At 47.2% G+C, this 20,907-nt stretch overlaps 1 protein-coding gene across 25 annotated transcripts in view, besides 1 other annotated feature; it reads left to right on the top strand.

The window, feature by feature from the left end:
• HDLBP (high density lipoprotein binding protein) overlaps positions 1–20,907 on the top strand; it is an 88,382-nt gene that overhangs the window by 43,564 nt on the left and 23,911 nt on the right. For 9 of the 25 annotated variants that reach the window (XM_017003941.3, NM_005336.6, XM_047444077.1 and 6 more), the window contains 10 exons: positions 3,568–3,632; positions 5,203–5,315; positions 7,504–7,661; positions 9,183–9,398; positions 15,303–15,509; positions 15,710–15,925; positions 16,529–16,735; positions 16,951–17,058; positions 18,612–18,716; positions 19,074–19,152. In XM_017003941.3, the coding sequence (XP_016859430.1) occupies positions 5,240–5,315; positions 7,504–7,661; positions 9,183–9,398; positions 15,303–15,509; positions 15,710–15,925; positions 16,529–16,735; positions 16,951–17,058; positions 18,612–18,716; positions 19,074–19,152 (1,372 nt within the window). In that variant the 5' untranslated portion in view covers positions 3,568–3,632; positions 5,203–5,239. Of the gene's footprint in view, positions 1–143; positions 2,194–2,813; positions 3,281–3,567; positions 3,633–4,400; positions 4,532–5,202; positions 5,316–7,503; positions 7,662–9,182; positions 9,399–15,302; positions 15,510–15,709; positions 15,926–16,528; positions 16,736–16,950; positions 17,059–18,611; positions 18,717–19,073; positions 19,153–20,907 lie in introns of those variants that run through there. The other 16 variants (XM_011511058.4, XM_047444079.1, XM_047444068.1 and 13 more) reach the window with 11 other exon arrangements.
• Positions 52–131: an enhancer, noted in NCBI's record as "active region_17421". NCBI's record gives its function as "activates an Ori minimal core promoter by ATAC-STARR-seq in GM12878 lymphoblastoid cells {active_cell/tissue: GM12878}" and the evidence as "EXISTENCE:reporter gene assay evidence [ECO:0000049][PMID:35858748]".

The following is a 20,907-nucleotide window of genomic DNA, read 5'->3' as shown; positions in this document are numbered from 1 at the left end:
CCCCAGGGTCGTGGATGAAAAATACATTACGGAAAAGTACCGAATTTGGATGAAAGGCGGGGAGGCCGAGGGGTTGCTGTCCCTTTAAGCCTGTCCCCGCCCGCGGGCCCTCGTGGCCTGTGGGAGGGCCGTGCTGAGGTGGCATCTGCGAAAGTTCCTCCATGCAGGATGGGTGCCGACTTCCAGAACTTGGTGAGAAGTGCGGAGCGGAGCCTGCCTTCTGCTCGCCAGTCGCCTGTGGTCTCTCCTAGATTTCGATCTTGTGATCTCTGAGTGGATCAGGATTTTATTTTCCCATTCTGAACTTTGGTTTGTGGTCTTGAGTAATTTTAGTTTTGGAAGAGGAGAAGTCTGGGTTTCAGCCGGAGGCTTTTTTGGTGCCCTCCATACCCGGTCCTGTCTGGTGCTTTAAAGCACTTGCGGGTCTCATTAACTGAGGCTGAAATGAAATTCTTCCTGGAGTATTACTGATAATTCTCTTCGAAGACTGTTGCCCCTTGAATATGTAGTTGGCAAAACTTATCACAAGGGAATCAACTTAATTACTTCCTCGTTTAAAAGCAAAAAAGTAGAACCCCTCATGTGAAGCCTTTTTTGTTGCTGTCAGAAACCTGTTAGACTTGTGCTAAACTTGTAAGCACCAGGTTTCCCACGCAACACACAGCTCTGTCAGGACTCCACGTTTTGCTCTACACGTATTAGGGCGGAAAGGGGTCTTGGTTCCTGCCCTCCTTCCTTTAGTTCTAGTTCTGTTTGCTGAAAGTTAAATTCTGAGATGTGACCTTTTTTGCTTTGGATGTTTGCACTCTGGGAAACAAAATTAAAAGTCCAGGTTCAGTATAGTTTGAGGTTTACATTAGGTGGACCTGGACACTGATTGATCCGAGCTTCCTATGGGAAAAGTAGTTGGGAGAGCCAGAATCACGAAGGGACTGGGGCCATATGGGAGGGACTGAAGGAGACAGGAGATAGGGCTCACCTACCAGAAGGAGCCTTGGAGGAGAGCGGACTTGTTCTCCATGGCCAGAAAGGGGAAAGAAGTTGTAGATTTTGTCATAACTTGAGGTGGAGCGTTTACAGCCATGCAGGGGTGGACCCGGGCCCTGAGAAGGCCATGAATTTCCTGTCCCTGGTGGTATTAAGAAATGGGATTAGATTAATATCTGAGGTTCCTTTCAATCCTGATTTGGACAGTACTGTTAGATCCAGTGAGAATCTGAGATACCCGATGTTAGCCTCTGTTCTTGGGTATCTAGGCCTGCCCAAGGTATCCTGGGAACTTCAGATAGCAAGTGGAGTTGCCTGGCGCTGTCCTGGGGTTGCTGAAAGATCCACATGGAACAGGATTAAACCCTCGTGGGTGTTGTCTGTGAAGGCAGAGCCAGGAGCAGGGCGTAGCAGTGCGGGGTGGACATGGGGCTGTAGGGTCAGCTTCTTAGGTGCTGCTTTGTTGAACCAGAGGCAGGTGGACCCCTGGGCTGTGCCTCACTGGATTGGGAGCACAGAAGGAGAATGAGACTGACTTTTAAGAAAATCTCACCCAGAATTTCAGGTGGGGACAGGGTCTGCATTTACATGTGGGTCATCAAATGCTTGCTTAAAACGCAGTCTTCGAAAACAGGTTTTTGAGTTGTTTAGAAGAAAAACAAAATGTTGTTTGATGATACCAGAACCCTAGATGTTAAATGTGTCTCTAGTTGTGAACCATTCGTTACACGCTCTGACAAACTGCCACTTGGAATCTGGAGGCTAGGGACCCAGTATAGCCTGTCAAACCAGTCTGGAGTTTTCTGGAGGTCTGCCTTCTGCCTTACCTGGCTGCCTGAGGGTCTGTGCACGCCTGAGGAACATGAGAGGCTCTGCTCCAGGGTCTCCCTCAGACACAGGAGTAGGTTCCCTTATGTTGAGACTCCTTTCAGTATAGGGTCCGGCTGGACTTGGCTTCTGAAGGGTGTGTGAGTGGTCTCAGAAGAGACTGACACTGGGTGCACAGTGGGGATTGGCTCATCACAGCTCCGTGCTGGAGAGTCGGTGCGGGCTGACATGGACGGAACTGCATTTTGCAGACTTCTAGTGTGGCTGTCACTGGGCACTAGAGACTTGCCCAGAACCTAGCTTGATAAGGGGGTGGGTGTCTGGGTTTAAGAAGTGACATTGGAGCCCGGGACAACCTTGAGTGAGAGACCATGCCAGGTGAGAGTCAGCAAGCAAGCGTGGGAGGGCGGAGGGTGGATGCGGGAGACCAGAGGCAAGTGTCACTGGACACCTGTTGGGGCACCTTAGCCTGGAGTGCCCTGCCCTGTTTTGCTCCCAGACTGGACAGACACTTGGAATCTCAAGGAGCTCTTGCCGAGTTGTGAATGTGCTAATCTGACACTTTGGAGAAATTTTCTTACTTTAATCTTTAAAACTTGCAAACTAGAATTTTGGTGATGCTTTTAAATGGAATACTCTTGATCAGTTTGTCCCAGCTTTCCCCTTCAGTCTTGGGGTACATCTGTGTGTCTGGTGCATCTGGGGCCCCATAGTGTCTCTGGTTTGTGGCAGGTTCCCTGTGTGACTCAAGCCCTGTATTTAGAGTTTTTAAAAAACTCATGACCAAGATTAGAATCCAGAAATACCACCAGTCCACATCCTCTGCTGGAAAGGCGAGACCCTTTAATCCAGTCTACTGGATGCTCCCCCATTGCCATGAACCGCCTTCTCAGCTCCGGACCCATGTGTCGTAAGGGCAAGATTATTGTCACGGTACGAGTAGTCTTCTCCAGTTGAGTGGGGTGTTCCTGTTACTGTCATTGCTTTTCCCATTTTAGACACATGCCTCACTCCTGTCAGCAGTTCCACCTTTTCATGGTTGAGGAGCACATGTGGTCGCCAGCCTCCCATCTCCAGAGTCCCCTAAGGCAAGGTGACTCACCCTCCTACTTCACAGAGTTCTTGGTCCTCCCCAGACAGCCTTTGAAGGTTCCTTTCAATCCTGCGATTTCATGACCTGGTTTCTAGATCCCCAGTGGATTAGAAAGGACTGAAGGACTTTTACAGGCTAACAGCAAGAAGAACAAAGTAACTGCAAAATAGACGGAGAATTCTTGAAGACGGTAGCTCTTGGTCACCATAAGCGCTGCAGAGACCCCGAGGTCCACATTCTGTTGTAGGTCAGAGCCCAGCACAACAACCCTTCTTCTGGTTCAGCCGCCCAGCGGTTATGTGGGGTACGGGAAAGATGATCCAGCCATGCAGGAGAGCACCAGTGGTTCTGTGAGGATTTTACTTCAAAATAGTTAAGTTTAGAAGTTTGGCACTTAAAAGATCACTCCCTCAGGTCCCTGGAATAGTTGTCCTCTGCAAGTTGGAGCTGGTTCATGTTTTGTTTTAATATGTTTTGTTTCAAGCTAACGTTTTTTTTTTCTTCCAAGAAACTTGCCTGAGTATTGGTGTTAGTAACCAAAGCATAAATATCTTGACCTTTTCTGATTTTGAGGTAAAAAGATCTGAGTTGTAAAATGTAGATAAGTAACTTTTCTCTGGTTTCCTCTCTCTCCTCTCCCACTTCCCATCCCATACCAGCAAAAGCTGGCAGGCTGACAGAGGCGGCCTCAGGACGGACCTTCTGGCTACTGACCGTTTTGCTGGTAAGTTTGACCCTGTCTGAAGACTTCCTGTCCCTGGGCTGTGTGTGGACCTGGGGGCGCAGGGATGCGTATTTTCTTAGTCCTGTGTGTACCTTCTTTCTTTATATCACACCTTCAAGTTTCTCGTGGTTCGTCAGAGATGTCTCCATAGCTTCACCTCCCAGCAGGAACCATCTATAGACGTGTGTCCCTTAGATGTGTCATCTGGCTTCCGTCTGTTTTTAATCTTTTATTTCTTAAATGTGAATTATGTTTATTCAGTATTATCTGAATTGGGGTCTTGCTTCTCTTTAGGATTGCAGGCCTTAACTTTTCTTCAACTTGGGGAGAGGTCTTAATTATGTTATAAAAATTATGCAAAATTCACTCCTTATTACTTGGCCTTGTTGTGCGAGTAATTGATGCGTAATTGTGTAAAGAAAATGGGTTCTTCCTCACTGTAGTAGTTTGGAGCTCACCTGGAACTGGGGAGAGGGAAGGAGAGGGAAGGAGAGGAAGCTAACATTCCTACCTCAGAATGCTGAATGTACCCCATTTTTCACATAAGGGAGCTGTGGCTTTCGGAGCCCATATCCCGCTGAGCACTGTGGCTGTGCTAATGAGAAACTCAGCGCCCTTGGGCCAGGTTTCCCCTGCTGTGCGAGTTCTGTCCCACACCTGGAGGGATGGGAGAATAACCAGTCAGTGTGGATCAAGGGCATTTAGCGCAATTTGTGGGTCTGTTACTGTTGCTACAAAGCACTGAGGCTGCTTTTTCCTGTCACGCAGCTACCACTTATAACCACCTGGTTAAGTCGAGATTTGGAGGTGGTTTAGTTTGGGGCCTGGATGCACCTTGCAGAGAGAGACCGCTGGCTTTTTGTAGCAACTGTCATGATGCATTTTGTAAGCATTAAGAGGTGTGTGGTGAGCAAATTGACAGAATAACCAAGGTCGCTGTTAGGAGAACGATCCTGGTGTTGATCTATGCCTGGAGCCTGGGTCAGGCAGGTGGCAGGTTCCATGGTCCCCCCACCCCTGCGGTTAGGGGTGGTGTTGACTGTGTCTCTGTGGCCCCTGGGGTGGAGAAATGGATGCAGACTGCCCCAAGTGGAGGATGAGCTCCTCCATTACAGGCAACTTTTGAGGGGACAGTTAACCAGCTGTTCTAGGACAAACTTGTCTAACCCGAGGCCCAGGACAGCTTTGAACATGGCCCAACACAAATTTCTTAAACTTTCTTAAAACATGAGGTTTTTTTTTGTTTGTTTTGTTTTGTTTTTGTTTGTTTATTAGCTATCATTAGTTTATTTTATGTGTGTCCCAAGATCATTCTTCTTGCATTGTGGCCCAGGGAAGACAAAAGATTGGCCACCCCTGTTCTAGGACCTCCTTTACTTGCATTTTCCCCCCTTTTTATCACTTGGTGAGAGTTTGGGTATCAGCTTACATCAGAGGTTGTGAGGAAAATAAAAAGGTATAGTTTGCTGGTAAAAAAGAGAGTAAAACTTTGCTAAAACTCTTAGGTTAACAATCTCATAGATAATTGAGGGTTGTACTTTGACTTCTGATTTATTCTTCTTTGCTTTAGTGGTTTTCCCGGATTGTGTGTAGGTGTGAGATCAACCATGAGTTCCGTTGCAGTTTTGACCCAAGAGAGTTTTGCTGAACACCGAAGTGGGCTGGTTCCGCAACAAATCAAAGGTGACAGCCCTTTTATGTGCTCTTCCTGGTAATGTCTAAGGCATTGCTCCCTCTAAAGCCTTTACCAAATCCCATGCCCTTTCTAGAAGTACCTTTTGGCCCTGTGGTTGTGGGGCAGGGAGGGTCCAACATCTTGTGCACTGTTTTCGCATTGCTGTGCGTGCAGGGGCGACTGGCCAGGCATGAGGAAATGAATCAAGTACAGTGAGATTTAACATGTGGGCAGCTTTCTGGAAAGCCAGCGAATTTGACCATTGGTAATTAATGCAGTCCTTTTCAAAACTGCTTTTTCCTAATTGTGGTAAACTAAAATCTGGGCTCTGAAGCATCCCAGAGCATTGCTTAAGCCTGCCTTGAGGATGAAGGCTGGACCCTGGCTTCGGAGTTCTCGAACGCCACTGGCTGGGATTAAGAGCAGTGCTGTACAGTAGAATAGACTACAAGCCACGTGTACAATTTTTAGGATTCTCTGGTACTTATTAAAAGGGAACAGGTGAAATTAATTTTGATATTTTACCCCAATATGTCTAATACACTGTCATTTCAACATCTCTAATGTAAAAAAAAGGGGGGGAACCATTGATATTTGAGATTATTTCTCTTCGAAGTCTGATGTGTATTTACAACGGTGGGACATTTCCTTCCATTTGAATGCCAGATTTTCATCCAAAATCCTTGATCTGTGTTTAGATGTTATAAAATCTTCATTTGAAAGAGCAGATTGTTCTACTCCAGGTTGTTCGAAACACACTTAAAAGTTTTCCAATAACTAAATTGAGTATTAGTTCTTAAAATTAATTAAAATATAAAATTAACTTTTCCTTAGTCACACTAGCCACATTTCAGAAGCTCATTTCTGGTGGCTGCTGTGTCAGGTGTTGGAACCCGAGAAGCTGCTTTGTTCTGGGGGCCTGGGATCCTCCTCCTGGAGCCAGCTTCCCTGTGAAGTCTGTGTTTCCCTTTCTAGAGAGGGAAGACGGCACTGAAAGAATGCTTCCACCTGTCCTGTCAGCGCTGTCGGGTAGATGGGCATGCAGCTGGGAAGCGATGGGCCTGGACTTGGGCATGAGCCTGTCTGATTCCAGAGATCATCCCCCTGTTCTCTGTCACATCCATTCATGGTGTTTTTCACTGGGCCTTGCTATTGCCAAGACGCCATGCTCAGTCCTGGGGATTTGGGTTATCCAAAACAGTCACACCCTTGATTTCATGGAGATTGTGGCTAATGGCACAAACACATGAACAAATAGGGCACTATGGAAGATGGAAGTGATGATAATCAGGGAACCTGATTTCCACAAGCCTTGCTGTCCTCTGCCTTGGGCAGGGCAGGGGGAGATCAGCGGTGACAATTGCCACTGCAGTCTTTTTTTTTGAGACGGAGTTTTGCTCTTGTTGCCCAGGCTGGAGTGCAATGGCGCAGTCTTGGCTCACTGCAACCTCTGCCTCCCGGGTTCAAGCGATTGTTCTGCCTCAGCCTCCCGAGTAGCTGGGATTACAGGCATGCACCACCCACACCTGGCTAATTTGTATTATTAGTAGAGACAGGGTTTCTCCATGTTGGTCAGGCTGGTCTCGAACTCCCGACCTCAGGTGATCTGCCTGCCTCGGCCTCCCAAAGTGCTGGGATTACAGGTGTGAGCCACCACGCCCGGCCTCCACGGCAATCATTTTTAACCTTGTATGTTACAGTGGAAAATCAGAGTTTGCTTCAAAGGCAATTCTCACAGGTGGTGCTGGGTAGGACCATTGTTTTGCAAATGCAGGGGTCTGCTCTGTGCCTGGCATTGCCATAGTTGTGATTTTTTTAAGTGTGTTATTAGACTCTAGAGGACTTAAAAATTGACGTAGCAAGGCTTGCTTTCAAGGGACTCACCCCGTTAGGGGAGTGGGGCTCACAATGTCTGAGCTGATGTTTACCAAGGAGGCCATGTGGATGGGGGTAGGTTCGCTGTCAGAGACTGGGAGTCTCTGGCCTCCTCTAGCTCTCACACTCAGGGTGCTGGGCCTGGTGACCTCCTGGGGCCTTTTCCTATCACTATGAATTAGAAGAGAGGGGTGGGGGGAGTTGTCCTTGGAGCATTTGATGGTTCTTGTTTGTCTGTTTTTAAGCACTAAAACCCTTAAAAGTGTTTTTCATGTAATGCTAAAAGTAGTGCTTCCTTTTAATCTGTGTTGGCTGGTCCAGTTGCCACTCTAAATTCAGAAGAGGAGAGCGACCCTCCAACCTACAAGGATGCCTTCCCTCCACTTCCTGAGAAAGCTGCTTGCCTGGAAAGTGCCCAGGAACCCGCTGGAGCCTGGGGGAACAAGATCCGACCCATCAAGGCTTCTGTCATCACTCAGGTAGAAACACCATTCTTTCTTTTAAAAATTTTATCATGTAACATGTCTATGTAAATTTTTAAATTTTTTTTCTTTTTTTTTTTTTTGAGACAGAGTCCCGCTCTGTCGCCCAGGCTGGAGTGCAGTGGTGCGATCTCGGCTCACTGCACGCTCCGCCTCCCGGGTTCACGCCATTCTCCTGCCTCAGCCTCCCGAGTAGCTGGGACTACAGGTGCCCGCCACCACGCCCGGCTAATTTTTGTATTTTTAGTAGAGACGGGGTTTCACCATCTTAACAAGGATGGTCTCCATCTCCTGACCTCGTGATCCGCCTTCCTCGGCCTCCCAAAGTGCTGGGATTATAGGCATGAGCCACCGCGCCCGGCCAGTTTTTTAAATTTTTAAAAATTAATTGCTGTTCTTTCTTAACCTATCCTTCCAAGCGTAGAATCTGATGGAAGAGTTTCTGAATGTGCAAGATTGAGAATGCTTTGAGTAGCTAAAGGGAGAAGGCCTTCAATTTAAATCATCCCCCACCCCAGAGATGTTTCTGTCGACCACTTCTCTCATGTCCACCCTGTATGCTAGCACTCAGTAGGACAGGCACGTGGTCGTTTTGCAGGCAGTGTTTGTCAGATGAATGGGTCCTGTTTTCTGTTCTCTATTCATTATCCTGCTTTCTCGAAGAGGTTAACCAGTTTCCTGGTTTTCTTTGGCTTCAGTAGCCCTTCTCTCTGCTACCTGAATTTGAGATGTTAGTGAGTTTCAAAACTTTTATATAAATTCATATCATCTGGTCATGGTGGAAAATTACTATCTCGCTGCCAGTGTCTTCCCTGAATTTTAGGCTCATAAACAGTTGCATCCCAATCCTTCCATTTTCACCTGTCTGCTATCTTGTTAATGGTTTTGTTAAATGTACCACTGTCTACTTGGTGACTGTGGTCTCACACCAGGGTAGTTGATCCCTCTTGCTTCCACCTTGTCCCTCCTCAGTTCTTCTCCATAAAGCAACGGGAGGGACCCTGCACCATCAAGCAGAATGCCTCCTGCTGAAAAGCCTGTGTTGACTTTTACTACAGGGTGGGATGGGTGATCCTCTTCACTGTCCCCCTCTGGTGTGTGCACCAGGCTCCGCCCCCATCCACCTCCTCCGCTTTCCTGCCTGTACACCCTTAGTTCCCTCACCTCTTAACATGGATAGCTGCCTCGTGCTTCAGGACGGTGTTTCCTGGCCGTCCCCAGGGTCCACCTCCCACTTTCTCTCAAACTCTCTTGCCCCTGTTGATTTCATCACAGCACTTGCTAGCTGCCTCATTCATTTGTGCAGCTGATGTGGTTCTCTCCTTAGGATGTCAGCCTCTTGACCTTGGCCCTTTCTCCTTGTCTTTCGGCTGCTTTATCCCAGGGCTTCGAGCAGTGCCTGTGGGCAGGGTGGGGCTGCTTTGTGAGTGGATGGTGATGAACACATGTTCTTTACTCCCTATCTGTTGGCCTTCTTTTAATCTCTTAACCTTTCCTTTTTTGATCTTTTTTGAGCAGGTGTTCCATGTACCCCTGGAGGAGAGAAAATACAAGGATATGAACCAGTTTGGAGAAGGTGAACAAGCAAAAATCTGCCTTGAGATCATGCAGAGAACTGGTGCTCACTTGGAGCTGTCTTTGGCCAAAGACCAAGGCCTCTCCATCATGGTGTCAGGAAAGCTGGATGCTGTCATGAAAGCTCGGAAGGACATTGTTGCTAGACTGCAGACTCAGGTGGGTAGCCTGAGGCCTACTTCTCCCCAGTGACTGTGTACCCGTTCCATTACCCGGCTCCTGATGCAGGCTAGAACGTCACTGGACCCTTCCTACCAGTGGGACAGTTCCGTCTTTTGGAGGTAGGACAGCAACATTCAGAGTCCTCTGGCATTTTTAGTGGAAAAACTCACTAAACTAATAATAGAACTGGGACACTTACCATTTTTGCTCTTTGAGTGAATGAACTTGAAAGTAATAATAATTTTTTTTTTAAGAGACAGAGTCTCACCTTGTTGTCTAGGCTCTTGTGCAGTGGCTATTCACAAGTGTGGTTATAGTACACTGTGGCCTCAAACTCCTGGGCTCAGGCAATCCACCTAGCCTCCCAGTTAGCTGGGATTACAGGCACACCACCACATCTGGCCAAACTGAAAATTAGAAGCTTGTCCCAGAGTTTGAGACACTTAAAAGAAGCTGGGCTTGCTGAATGGTAAAGATGGGTGGTTCCCATTGCTTTGCTAGTATGTTCACTAACTACACATTTCCAGGCCCCAAATTGAGGAGATTACAAGTTCAAATTCTGTTTTAAGCCAGTTTCCTCGTCTTTGGCAGTCTGATGCCAGTACTTGGACTTTATTTAAGAACATTTGTAATAAGCAAATCTCTGATGCATTTCTCCCTAAGTGGTAGCACTTAAAGACCAAGAAAAATGTAAAGAATCTTACTAAAGTGTTGCGTGACTGCTGTTGTACTAGATAGGCTTATTTAGGAATGGGGGTTCTTCCCATCTGCTACTGAGTCTCCTTGATCTTGTGGGAGCTGGATCTGGAGCACCCTGGAGCATGGTGATTGGACGATGGGGATTTGATGGGAGAGGGCCTGAGGGGTAGGAGTGCAGGGTGTAGCCAGGAGGCGAGGCAGAGGAGTGCCACCTAATGCAGGTCCAGCTGTGCCACTTAACCACATGGGGGCATCGGGACAGTCCCCAACCCCAGCTGGCTTCATGGAGTTAAACCATTAAGTGTTAGGAAGGTGAAAGTGTTGCTTATAATTGTCCAGCATGGTGGCCAGTGCATAATAGGCTCTGAAAGTTTTCCAGGTGTCTGCTAGTCAGTGGATATTTGAGCTTCTGTTTTGTAATCAACACTGTAGGGGAAAGGGCCACTTCACTGAATATATGGATCAGAATGAAGACATTGACCCCTGACACTCTCCTACTCCTCAATTATCTTCAGACAAATCCCAGATACATTATTGTGCCTTAGTTCAGATCTTCCCGTTTTCATGTATACATATATATAGTCATTGTGCTCCTAACTCATGTAATCATATTGATAGTGGTTTCTTAATATTATACCTTTTTAACCCAGTCTCTGTTTGGACTTTCCTCATCATCTCCAAGATGTTTCTTTCAGTTGGTCTTTTCAAGTCAGTGTCCAAACAAGGTCACAATGTTGCATTTGATTATAGAGTCCTGTCTCTCATTCTTTAACAGTGCTTACTCCCTCCTACCCCCTTTTTTTTTTTTTTTTTTGAGACAGGATCTCACTTTGTTGCCCAGGCTGGAGTGCAGTGGTGCAGACACAGCTCATGGCAGCCTTGACCTCCTGGGCTCAAGTGATCCTCCTGACTCAGCCCTTCAAGTAGTTGAGACTGCAGGCATGCACCATCAGGCCCGGCTTTTTTTTTGTTTGTTTTTTGGCAGATGCGGGTTTTCACCATGTTGCCCACTCTGGTCTCAAACCCCTAGGCTCAAATGATCCACTCATTTCAGCCTACCAAAGTGTTGGAATTACAGGTGTGAGCCACCACGCCCAGCCAATCCTCCCCTTTTTTAATGCCATTGATTAGTGGGGACCGTAGGTTTTTGGTTCTGCTATTGACTGATTATTTTTGGTGAACTGGTGTTAGATCTCTAGGGGCTTGGTTACTTCCACAGTCAGCTTGTTGGGCAAGAAGACCCTGTAGGTGGTGCTGAGTCTGTGCTGTGATAGCTGGTTGTTCTGCTTTGAACTGATTTTGAGATTGATCATTAGGCTCAGGTCTGGGTCTTCCCTTGTAAAGTTCCCTATCAGTGCTTTGTGTAATCATTTTACTATCAATTGGTGATTGCCCAAATTCGTTAAGGGTTGCAAATTATGCTTTTCTAATTCTCTCCCTGCTCATACATTAGTTGATAATTCTTGTAAAGAAGAATTTTTCTTCATCAGCAGTTGGGTGGGAAGTACCAGATAAATAATCGATTCTTTGGCGCTCCGGCGACTTCAGTGTTGATCAGTGACTCTCTTTAGTGTCATTATGAACTCAGGCATTGTCCATCATTCTTCATGCTGGAGCTGCTTCATCTTTGGCCAGTGGGTCCCCTCCTTTCAGTTTTGTTCCCTGCAGCTTTCTGTCATGACCTATTAATATCAATACCTTCTGGCCAGGTGCAGTGGCTCACGCCTATAATCCTAGCACTTTGGGAGGCTGAGGCGGGCAGATCACCTCAGGTCAGGAGTTTGAGACCAGCCTGGCCAGTATGGCGAAACCCCATCTCTACTAAAAATACAAAAAAATTAGCCAGGCGTGGCGGTGGGTGCTTGCAATCTCAGCTACTTGGGAGGCTGAGGCAGGAGAATCACTTGAACCCGGGAGGCAGAGGTTGCAGTGAGCCAAGATCATGCCATTGCACTCCAGCCTGTGCAACAGGAGCAAAACTCTGTCTCAAAATAATAAATAAATAAATAAATAACTTCTTAATTTCTAACACAGAAAGATGCCTCAGGCTAATCTTACATATTTCCTTCCACAGACCTTGAGTCAGCTGTTTCTCTCTGAACTCTGAACCTTTTGAGTAGGAAATTGCAGTTGGAGACTCCAGTCTCCATAGGTGCACGTCGCAACTAGGTTGTCAGAGCTTCTAGGCTTTTTCAGAAGACAGAGCTAGGATAATTGTACTTTTAAGAAAGGAAAAGCAGGCGGTGACTCTCACGCCTGTAATCCTAGCACTTTGGGAGGCCGAGGTGAGCAGATTGCATGAGCACAGGAATTTGAGACCAGCCTGGGCAACATGGTCAGACCCCATCTCTACAAAAAATAGTGGTGGCGTGCTCACCTGTAATCCCAGCTACTTAGAAGTCTGAGGAGAAAGGATTGTTTGAGCCTGGGATGTGGAGGCTTCTGTGAGCAGTGTTTGCACCACCACAGCCCAGCCTGGGTGACAGAGTCCCAGAAAAGGAAAATCATGAGTTCAAAATCACTTGAAGTAATTCCTTTTTTCTGAGTTTTTCTGTCATCTTGATATAGTTAGGTACATTTGTTTCCATTTACTGTCAATTTTTAAAGTATTTCAACATTTACATGCTTGCAAAGTCAACGTTATATAATAAAGTACTTTCAGAGAAATCTCCCCTGCCTGTTACCTTCACCCTGCTCCCTCCTCACCTTTGCAGGCGGCCATTCCTGGTCCTGGTTTATCCTTTGTTGTTTGTTGTTTGAGAGCAGAAGCAAAATACAGCTTGCCATACACCCTGTTCTATGCCTTGCTTTTTTTCTTTTATTATTTTTTGGAGGTGTCTGCATATCAGTAAGTAGTGATTTTTCTCATTTCTTTGTTCAGCAGTGTAATATTCTGTGGGCGTACTGTAATTTACCCAGGCTTTCCTACTGATGGGCATTTGGGTAGTTTCCAGACTTTAGCTGTTACAAATTATGTTACAGTAGCAATCGTGTGCATATGCTATTTCCTGTTTTACCCAGTGTATCTTGGGATAGATTCCTAGAAGTGAGATGGCTGGGTCAGAGGGTGGCTGCATGTGGAATCGGGCCATCGGATGCTAAATTTCCTTCCTTAGGAATTAGTGTTTTGCCGTCTCATCAGCAGTATGCAAGAGCCAGGCTCTTCACATTCTTGGGTTTTAGCCGATGTGAGAGGCAACCAAATATACTTTAAATTTGCATTTTTCTGATGAGCAAGATTGAGCACCTTTTCAATATATAAGGGCCACTTGCATTTTTTATTATCTTGAGTCATTGTTAGGAAAGTTTTTTCACTATCAGGTCATAAGAAAGTTTATCTTTTCTTCTGCTGCTTGTAAATGTGTTCTTACATTTCAGTTTCTGATCTATTTGGAATTTATTGCAAATAGGGTTGAGGCACTGATTGAGTTTCACTTTTTTCCATACGGCTTTCGAGTTGTCAGCACTATTTTTTTGTTTGTTGTAACACAGGGTCTCAGCCTGCCACATAAGCTGAAGTGCCATGGCATGATCACGGCTCACCGGAGCCTCAACCTCCTAGGCTCAGGCAGTTCTCCTGCCTCAGCCACCCCAGTAGCTGGGACCACAGGCACACGTCACCATGGCCAGCTAATTTTTTTTTTTTTTTTTTTTTTTTTTTTGAGACGGAGTCTTGCTCTGTCGCCCAGGCTGGAGTGCAGTGGCGCGATCTCGGCTCACTGCAAGCTCCGCCTCCCGGGTTCACGCCATTCGCCTGCCTCAGCCTCCCGAGTAGCTGGGATTACAGGCGCCTGCCACCATGCTAATTTTTGTATTTTTGGTGACCTCGTGATCCACCCACCTCGGCCTCCCAAAGTGCTGGGATTACAGGCGTGAGCCACTGCGCCTGGCCTTGGCCAGCTTATTTTTAAAATTTTTGTAGAAGTCAGGTCTCACCATGTTGCCCAGGCTGATCTTGGACTCCTGGGCTCAAACAATCCTCTCATCTCGGCTTCCCGGAGTGCTGGGATTACAGGCGTGCCATCACTGTCTTGAAAAGACGTTTTGCTCTAGTGAACTTGAGTGGCTGCTTTTATCATGTCCTAAATGTTTATATTAACTTAGCTCTGTTTCTGGGTTTTCAGTTCAGACCAGCAGGTCTTTCCGTATACTGGTATTTCCTGTGTTAATGATAATGGTTTCATGTTTAATGTCTAGGACCACTGTTAACACCTCCACCCTGCACTATTCTTTTTCAGGGTTTTCTTGTTCATTTTTGTTGGTTCTGTGTTACAACCTTTATAATCAACTGTTTGAAATTGTATTAATATTTTAAAGTTAATTGGGATGATCGCCATCTACTTAAACCTTCTGTTAGCTATTTTAAGGAGTGTTTTCTAATTTCGAATGCACATACTCCACCTTGTGTTGGGCTTGTGTCTTGCTATTTTCTTGTCCTTTTTTCTTTTTTCCTTTTTTCTATTAGAAACACATCTTTTGGCCAGGCGCAGTGGCTCACACCTGCAATCCCAGCACTTTGGGAGGCTGAGGTGGGCGGATCACAAGGTCAGGAATTCGAGACCATCGGGGCCAACATGGTGAAACCCTGCCTCTACTAAAAATATAAAAATTAGCTGGGCATGGTGGCGCACGCCTGTAGTCCCAGCTAATCGAGAGGCTGAGGCAGGAGAATCCCTTGAACCCAGGAGGCAGAGGTTACAGTGAGCCAAGATGGCACCACTGCACTCCAGCCTGACGTCAGAGCGAGACTCCGTCTCAAAAAAAAAGAAACGCATCTCTTTCATTACATCTTCTAAGTAGTTGTTGTTTGTGGAAGTTAATGTTGTTAACTTCTTGATTTCAGTCTTTTCTCTTTGCTATAAATAGAATTTCACCCAGTAGTTTTTTCAGGGTTTCTGGATATGCAGTCATGCTTCTTCCTGTCCAGCTTTTGTGGATGTTAACTCTTGTCTCCCTTTGTGGGTGTATATTCCAGTGGATGTTAAGTAGTGGTGCAGATACACTCGAACTTACCCTAACCTGGGAGTCAGGGCAACCTTCCCCAAGCATGTGATGTTTAAGCTCATGCTGTTTTAATGGATGAGTTGGTGCTGCTGGGCAGGAATAAGCAAAGATGGTGTTTCTGCCAGAATGTCTTGGAAAAATATGCTCCTTCAGAACCTACAAATATTCTTGTTTTCTTTTATTCTCTTCTTGCTATAGGCCTCAGCAACTGTTGCCATTCCCAAAGAACACCATCGCTTTGTTATTGGCAAAAATGGAGAGAAACTGCAAGACTTGGAGCTAAAAACTGCAACCAAAATCCAGATCCCACGCCCAGATGACCCCAGCAATCAGATCAAGATCACTGGCACCAAAGAGGGCATCGAGAAAGCTCGCCATGAAGTCTTACTCATCTCTGCCGAGCAGGTGAGGCCTGTGTGAGTGCCTCGTGCCCCTGCCTACCTGCTTGTGCAGACCTCACTCCCTCATGGGTTGCCGTGTCCAGTGTGGACTTCAAGGCATAATGTGGTGGGGGTGGAGGGCTTGACTCCAACTCTAAAAAGCCCTGTCTGTCCCCAGTTTGTTTTCAAAGGCCTGTTCTCATCAGATCATCCCTTCCTTTCCAGGACAAACGTGCTGTGGAGAGGCTAGAAGTAGAAAAGGCATTCCACCCCTTCATCGCTGGGCCGTATAATAGACTGGTTGGCGAGATCATGCAGGAGACAGGCACGCGCATCAACATCCCCCCACCCAGCGTGAACCGGACAGAGATTGTCTTCACTGGAGAGAAGGAACAGTTGGCTCAGGCTGTGGCTCGCATCAAGAAGATTTATGAGGAGAAGGTACACGATTTAGAGGAGGCAAATCCCCATGGGCAGGAATAGAAATGAGGATTTGGGTCTGGAGATTCAGTTAAGGCCTGGTTCTGCCCCTTATCTTTTTGTCCTTGATGAAGATGCTTATTGTCTCTACACTTGAGTGACCCGGGTGAGATCGGTGCCCGCCCCCCCTTGCTGTTGAGCATCTGCCTGGCAGTTGTCCTTGCCGTCCTGGGCCTCTGACTGTGCTGACAGGCTGCCAGCTGGGCTGCCCCGGGTCAGATGCACATCCCGGACTTGTTCACGTCTTAGATTAAGCTGTTAGCTCAGCTTAGTGAACTTTGAGGTCTGAAACGTGTTCCTTAATTGAGGGAAAGGATTGGGTGTTTTGCAGTGTTCAAGGACGAAGTTATCAGCCGGCGGGTGACTAGACTGAGGGGAAAAATCCAGTCCTTGAACAGTGAAGTTTCTGGGGATTGGCTAGTCCTGATCACTTGTTGTTCACTTCTTGGGATCAGCATCTATAGTCTGGGCCGCTTTGGCTTGCTTTCTGCAGCAGTGGCCATGCCCACCTGCCCGCTTCCCACACCTTTCCCTTTGACTGCCCCTTATGGTGCTCTTATTTAGAAAAAGAAGACTACAACCATTGCAGTGGAAGTGAAGAAATCCCAACACAAGTATGTCATTGGGCCCAAGGGCAATTCATTGCAGGAGATCCTTGAGAGAACTGGAGTTTCCGTTGAGATCCCACCCTCAGACAGCATCTCTGAGACTGTAATACTTCGAGGCGAACCTGAAAAGTTAGGTCAGGCGTTGACTGAAGTCTATGCCAAGGTAACTGCCTCCGAGCATGAAGTGTGTCTCCTTTGAGTGGAGTCCGCGGGGCCTTCATGGATGAGCTCTCGATTTGTAAATCCTGGGGCCTGGACACAGTGCAGGTGCCCAGGTTTGGGGAGAGCGTGCCTCTGAGCCCCAGGTGAGCAGCCTGGCTTTCACTGTGACACGACCTTGAGCTCTGCAAACCCATGGCTGTTCTCCCATTTTCTTAGGCCAATAGCTTCACCGTCTCCTCTGTCGCCGCCCCTTCCTGGCTTCACCGTTTCATCATTGGCAAGAAAGGGCAGAACCTGGCCAAAATCACTCAGCAGATGCCAAAGGTAAGGACACGTTTTTCACCTGTTGTATTGAATTTGTCTTGTTTTCTGTCTTTCTGTTTCTGATATTGCTTTGTTGACCTTTGTACTGTGGATGCCCTTGAAAACTGGTGTATTTTTCTGAATTAACTGGCCTGTTTGACATGGTCAACTTCCGTGTTAGCTTAAAGAACAGCAGAATAAATGTCTGTAGATGTCTGTACCATCCTTCTGGCCTTTAACCAGAGAGGATTGTATGTTCTTAGGTTTCATAAGTATCTTAAGAAACATGTCATTTAGTAATTATGGTGAAATAACTTCATGATACTTTGGCGGGCCGGGTGCGGTGGCTCATGAGGTCAGGAGATCGAGACCATCCTGGCTAACATGGTGAAACCCCGACTCTACTAAAAATACAAAAAATTAGCCGGGCTTGGTGGCGGGCACCTGTGGTCCCAGCTGCTTGGGAGGCTGAGGCAGGAGAATGGCGTGAACCCGGGAGGTGGAGCTTGCAGTGAGCCGAGATGGCACCACTGCATTCCAGCCTTGGCGACAGAGCGAGACTCTGTCTCAAAAAAAAAAAAAAAATACTTTGAAGAGCAGAACTTGTATACAAATTGTATTAAGTGTGAATTTAAAGCGTTCTCAGTTTACCAAAGGAGATTGTAGCCCCCAGGAAACATGAACAAAAAAGAAATACCAGAGAATCCAACCATCATATTTAATTCCTGTTTTATTTAAACTTTGTTTCCAATTAATGTTACAGTCCTTTTTAAAAATTAAATTTTTTTTATTTTATTCCTTTTTTTTAGTGACAAAGCCTCACTCTGTCACCCAGGCTGGGGTGCAGTAGCGCAGTCATAGCTCACTGCAGCCTTGAACTCATGGGTCAAGTGATCCGCTCGTCTCAGCTTCCCAAGTAGCTGGCACTACAGGCGCCCCAGGCTAGTTTTCGTGGAGGCAGAGTCTTACTAGTTGCCCAGGTTGATCTCGAACTCGTGGGATCAAGTAGTCCTCCTACCTCAGCCTCCCAAAATATTGAGGTTATGGGTGTGAGTCACTGTGCCCAGCCCCTTTTACTTTGTATAGCTTCATATAAGGACCAGTCTGCCTTCCTTAACTCCTTACCTGGAGGATAATAAACCAGGAACTCTGGCAGCCTTGTCTATGTCAAGCAAGTTACTTTACCACCTTGGTACAGCTATACGAGTTTTAAAATTCCATCCGTGCTCTGTCTCATTCTTTATGCAACTCAAGAGGACCAGGCCTTGTAAAAGTTCAGATGGTGGAGGAGCATGTCGCATGTCGCATGCTTTATGTTAGTGGCTTCTGTGGGGCAAACGGTGTCCTTAGTGAGAGGCAGGATTATTCGGCCACAGTATTTAGTTTCCTGACTATGGCTCCCTAACCCTCCCTTTCAACTTTGTTTGATGGCTGTGGATATGTCCCTCCCTCCCTCACATCTATGTGAAGCAGTTTGGGATCAGAAGCCGCTCCGAAGAGAGCTCCCACTGGGAGCTCAGGGGCTGCAGCTGTGCCATTCTGTTTTAGCTATCTCTTTGGTTTTGGTGTGGTAGGTTCACATCGAGTTCACAGAGGGCGAAGACAAGATCACCCTGGAGGGCCCTACAGAGGATGTCAATGTGGCCCAGGAACAGATAGAAGGCATGGTCAAAGATTTGGTAAGGTACCCCTTGGAATGTTGTGTGTGCTGGTGACAAGGGAGGCTCTGAGTTGGGCATGGGCGGTCATCTCTCGATGACATCCCACATGTCCGGGCACAGACACCCAGGGCATCCTAGCTGGGTGAGTAATAGGTTCTGAAACAACCAGAAGCTGGTCGAAGTCCTGGAATAATCGTGGGTGGAGGAAACTTCATCTTGAAGAAGGCATCTTTCAGGGGAGATGCAGGGGCAGTCTCCAACAATTCCTGACAGCTGAGTGGTCAGAAAAGGCAACCGTGGAGACTGCTGGGTTTTGGTTCAGCTCATTGGCCAAGTAACCAGGCGCATCCATGGACCTCTGTGCTCCTCCTGCAGATTAACCGGATGGACTATGTGGAGATCAACATCGACCACAAGTTCCACAGGCACCTCATTGGGAAGAGCGGTGCCAACAGTGAGTGAGGCTGTCTGTTGCGGTGGGGCCAGTGTGCCCTGAGACCCTTGTGGGGGGTGTCAGCTGTGAGAACTGTGACGTCCGTGCAGACAGTCCAGGCCCATTGCTGCCTGTAATGGGAGTTACAGACTTTACATCCTCCTGCCTGCTGGAAGAGGCCACTTTTCCTTTTCCCTTTGGTGCAGTGGTTGGATTAGAGCTGCTTGGCCAGTGGGTGAATTGTCACTTTTGGAAATCCATCTAAGCCCTCCCCAAATAACCCACAGAGGCCATGTTGAAGGCATGCCCAAGGGCAGCATTCTCTATATTTCCGTCAGACCTGCTAGGTTAGCCAATCAGTGTTGGTAGTACTCATGCCTTCTGAACGTGGAAACTGCTGATCTGGAACTCACTGAAGAGTAAAAACATTCTAGATTTGTGCCCAAGTAAAACAACATGGGGAGGGATACTTTTTTGAGACAGGGTCTCACTCTGTCACCCAGGCTGGAGTGCAGTGGCGTGATCTCAGCTCACTACAACCTCTGCCTACCGGGCTCAAGCAATTCTCCAGCTTCAGCCTCCTGAGTAGCTGGGACTACAGGTGCATGCCACCACAGCCAATTAATTTTTGTATTTTTAGAAGAGACGGGGTTTCACCATGTTGGCCAGGCTTGTCTCAAATTCCTGGGCTCAGGTGATCTGCCCACCTTGGCCTCCCAAGGTGCTGGGATTAAAAGTGTGAGCCACCACACCCAGCAGGGGGATTCTGTTGAAGAGGCAGTGATATGTCAGCCAAGGTCGCTATATGCCTCACCTGTGCCAGGTTGTAGGTGTAGCACAGTTACAGGACACTGTTGGAAGTATGTCATGTGGGCCAAGGTCGCTGTGTGCCTCACCTGTGCCAGGTTGCAGGTGTAGCACAGTTACAGGATGCTGTTAGAAGTGTGTCGTGGGCATTCTGCTGCAGGTCCAAGGATGTTTTGTGTTGTTTGTTTGTTTTTTGGGACGGAGTCTCGCTCTGTCACCAGGCTGGAGTGCAGTGGCGTGATCTCAGTTCACTGCAACGTCCACCTCCCAGGTTCAAGCGATTCTCCTGCCTCAGCCTCCCAAGTAGCTGGGATTACAGGCGTGCACCACCACACCCAGCTAATTTTTTTGTATTTTTAGTAGAGATGGAATTTCACCATGTTGTCTAGGCTGGTGTCAAACTGCTGACCTTAGTTGATCTGCCCACCTCGGCCTCCCAAAGTGCTGGGATTACAGGCATGAGCCACTGTGCCCAACCAAGAATGTTTTTTTACACCTCTTTGTTTAACTGTATGGCTATACTCACACACTCGCGTGTTCTGAAAACAAGTGCACACGTCGCGTGTGTTACCTTTGGGTGGAAGGTGAGAAGGCAAGCACGTCCTCCATTCCTGGATAGTTCAGTGGATGAAGGAGCCTTTCCCAGGTAGTGGGACACCGACCTGCATAACATGACTGACGTCCGTGTATCCGTTTTTGTTATGAGTAAACATAGCCTTGGCAGCTGTGCTGTGGCCTGTGCAATGGTGAGCTCTCTGGTGTCAGTCTTATGTTTTGTGGGCATTTTACGTGACAGCGACGAGAGTCTGTAGGCACAAAGTGACCTTTTTGCGCACTACTTGAACCACACATACACCATAAACTTGCTTTTACGGTTTTGTTTTGGTTTTGGTTAACTGTAGCGTTTGTTTAGGCCTGACACGGTGGCTCTTGCCTGTAATCCCAGCATTTTGGGAGACCAAGGCAGGA

This window comes from Homo sapiens, chromosome 2, assembly GCF_000001405.40.
Source record: "Homo sapiens chromosome 2, GRCh38.p14 Primary Assembly".
Classification (NCBI taxonomy): Eukaryota; Metazoa; Chordata; class Mammalia; order Primates; family Hominidae; genus Homo; species Homo sapiens.
Note: the sequence above shows the minus strand (reverse complement) of the source record. Positions and strands in the feature narration are given on the sequence as shown.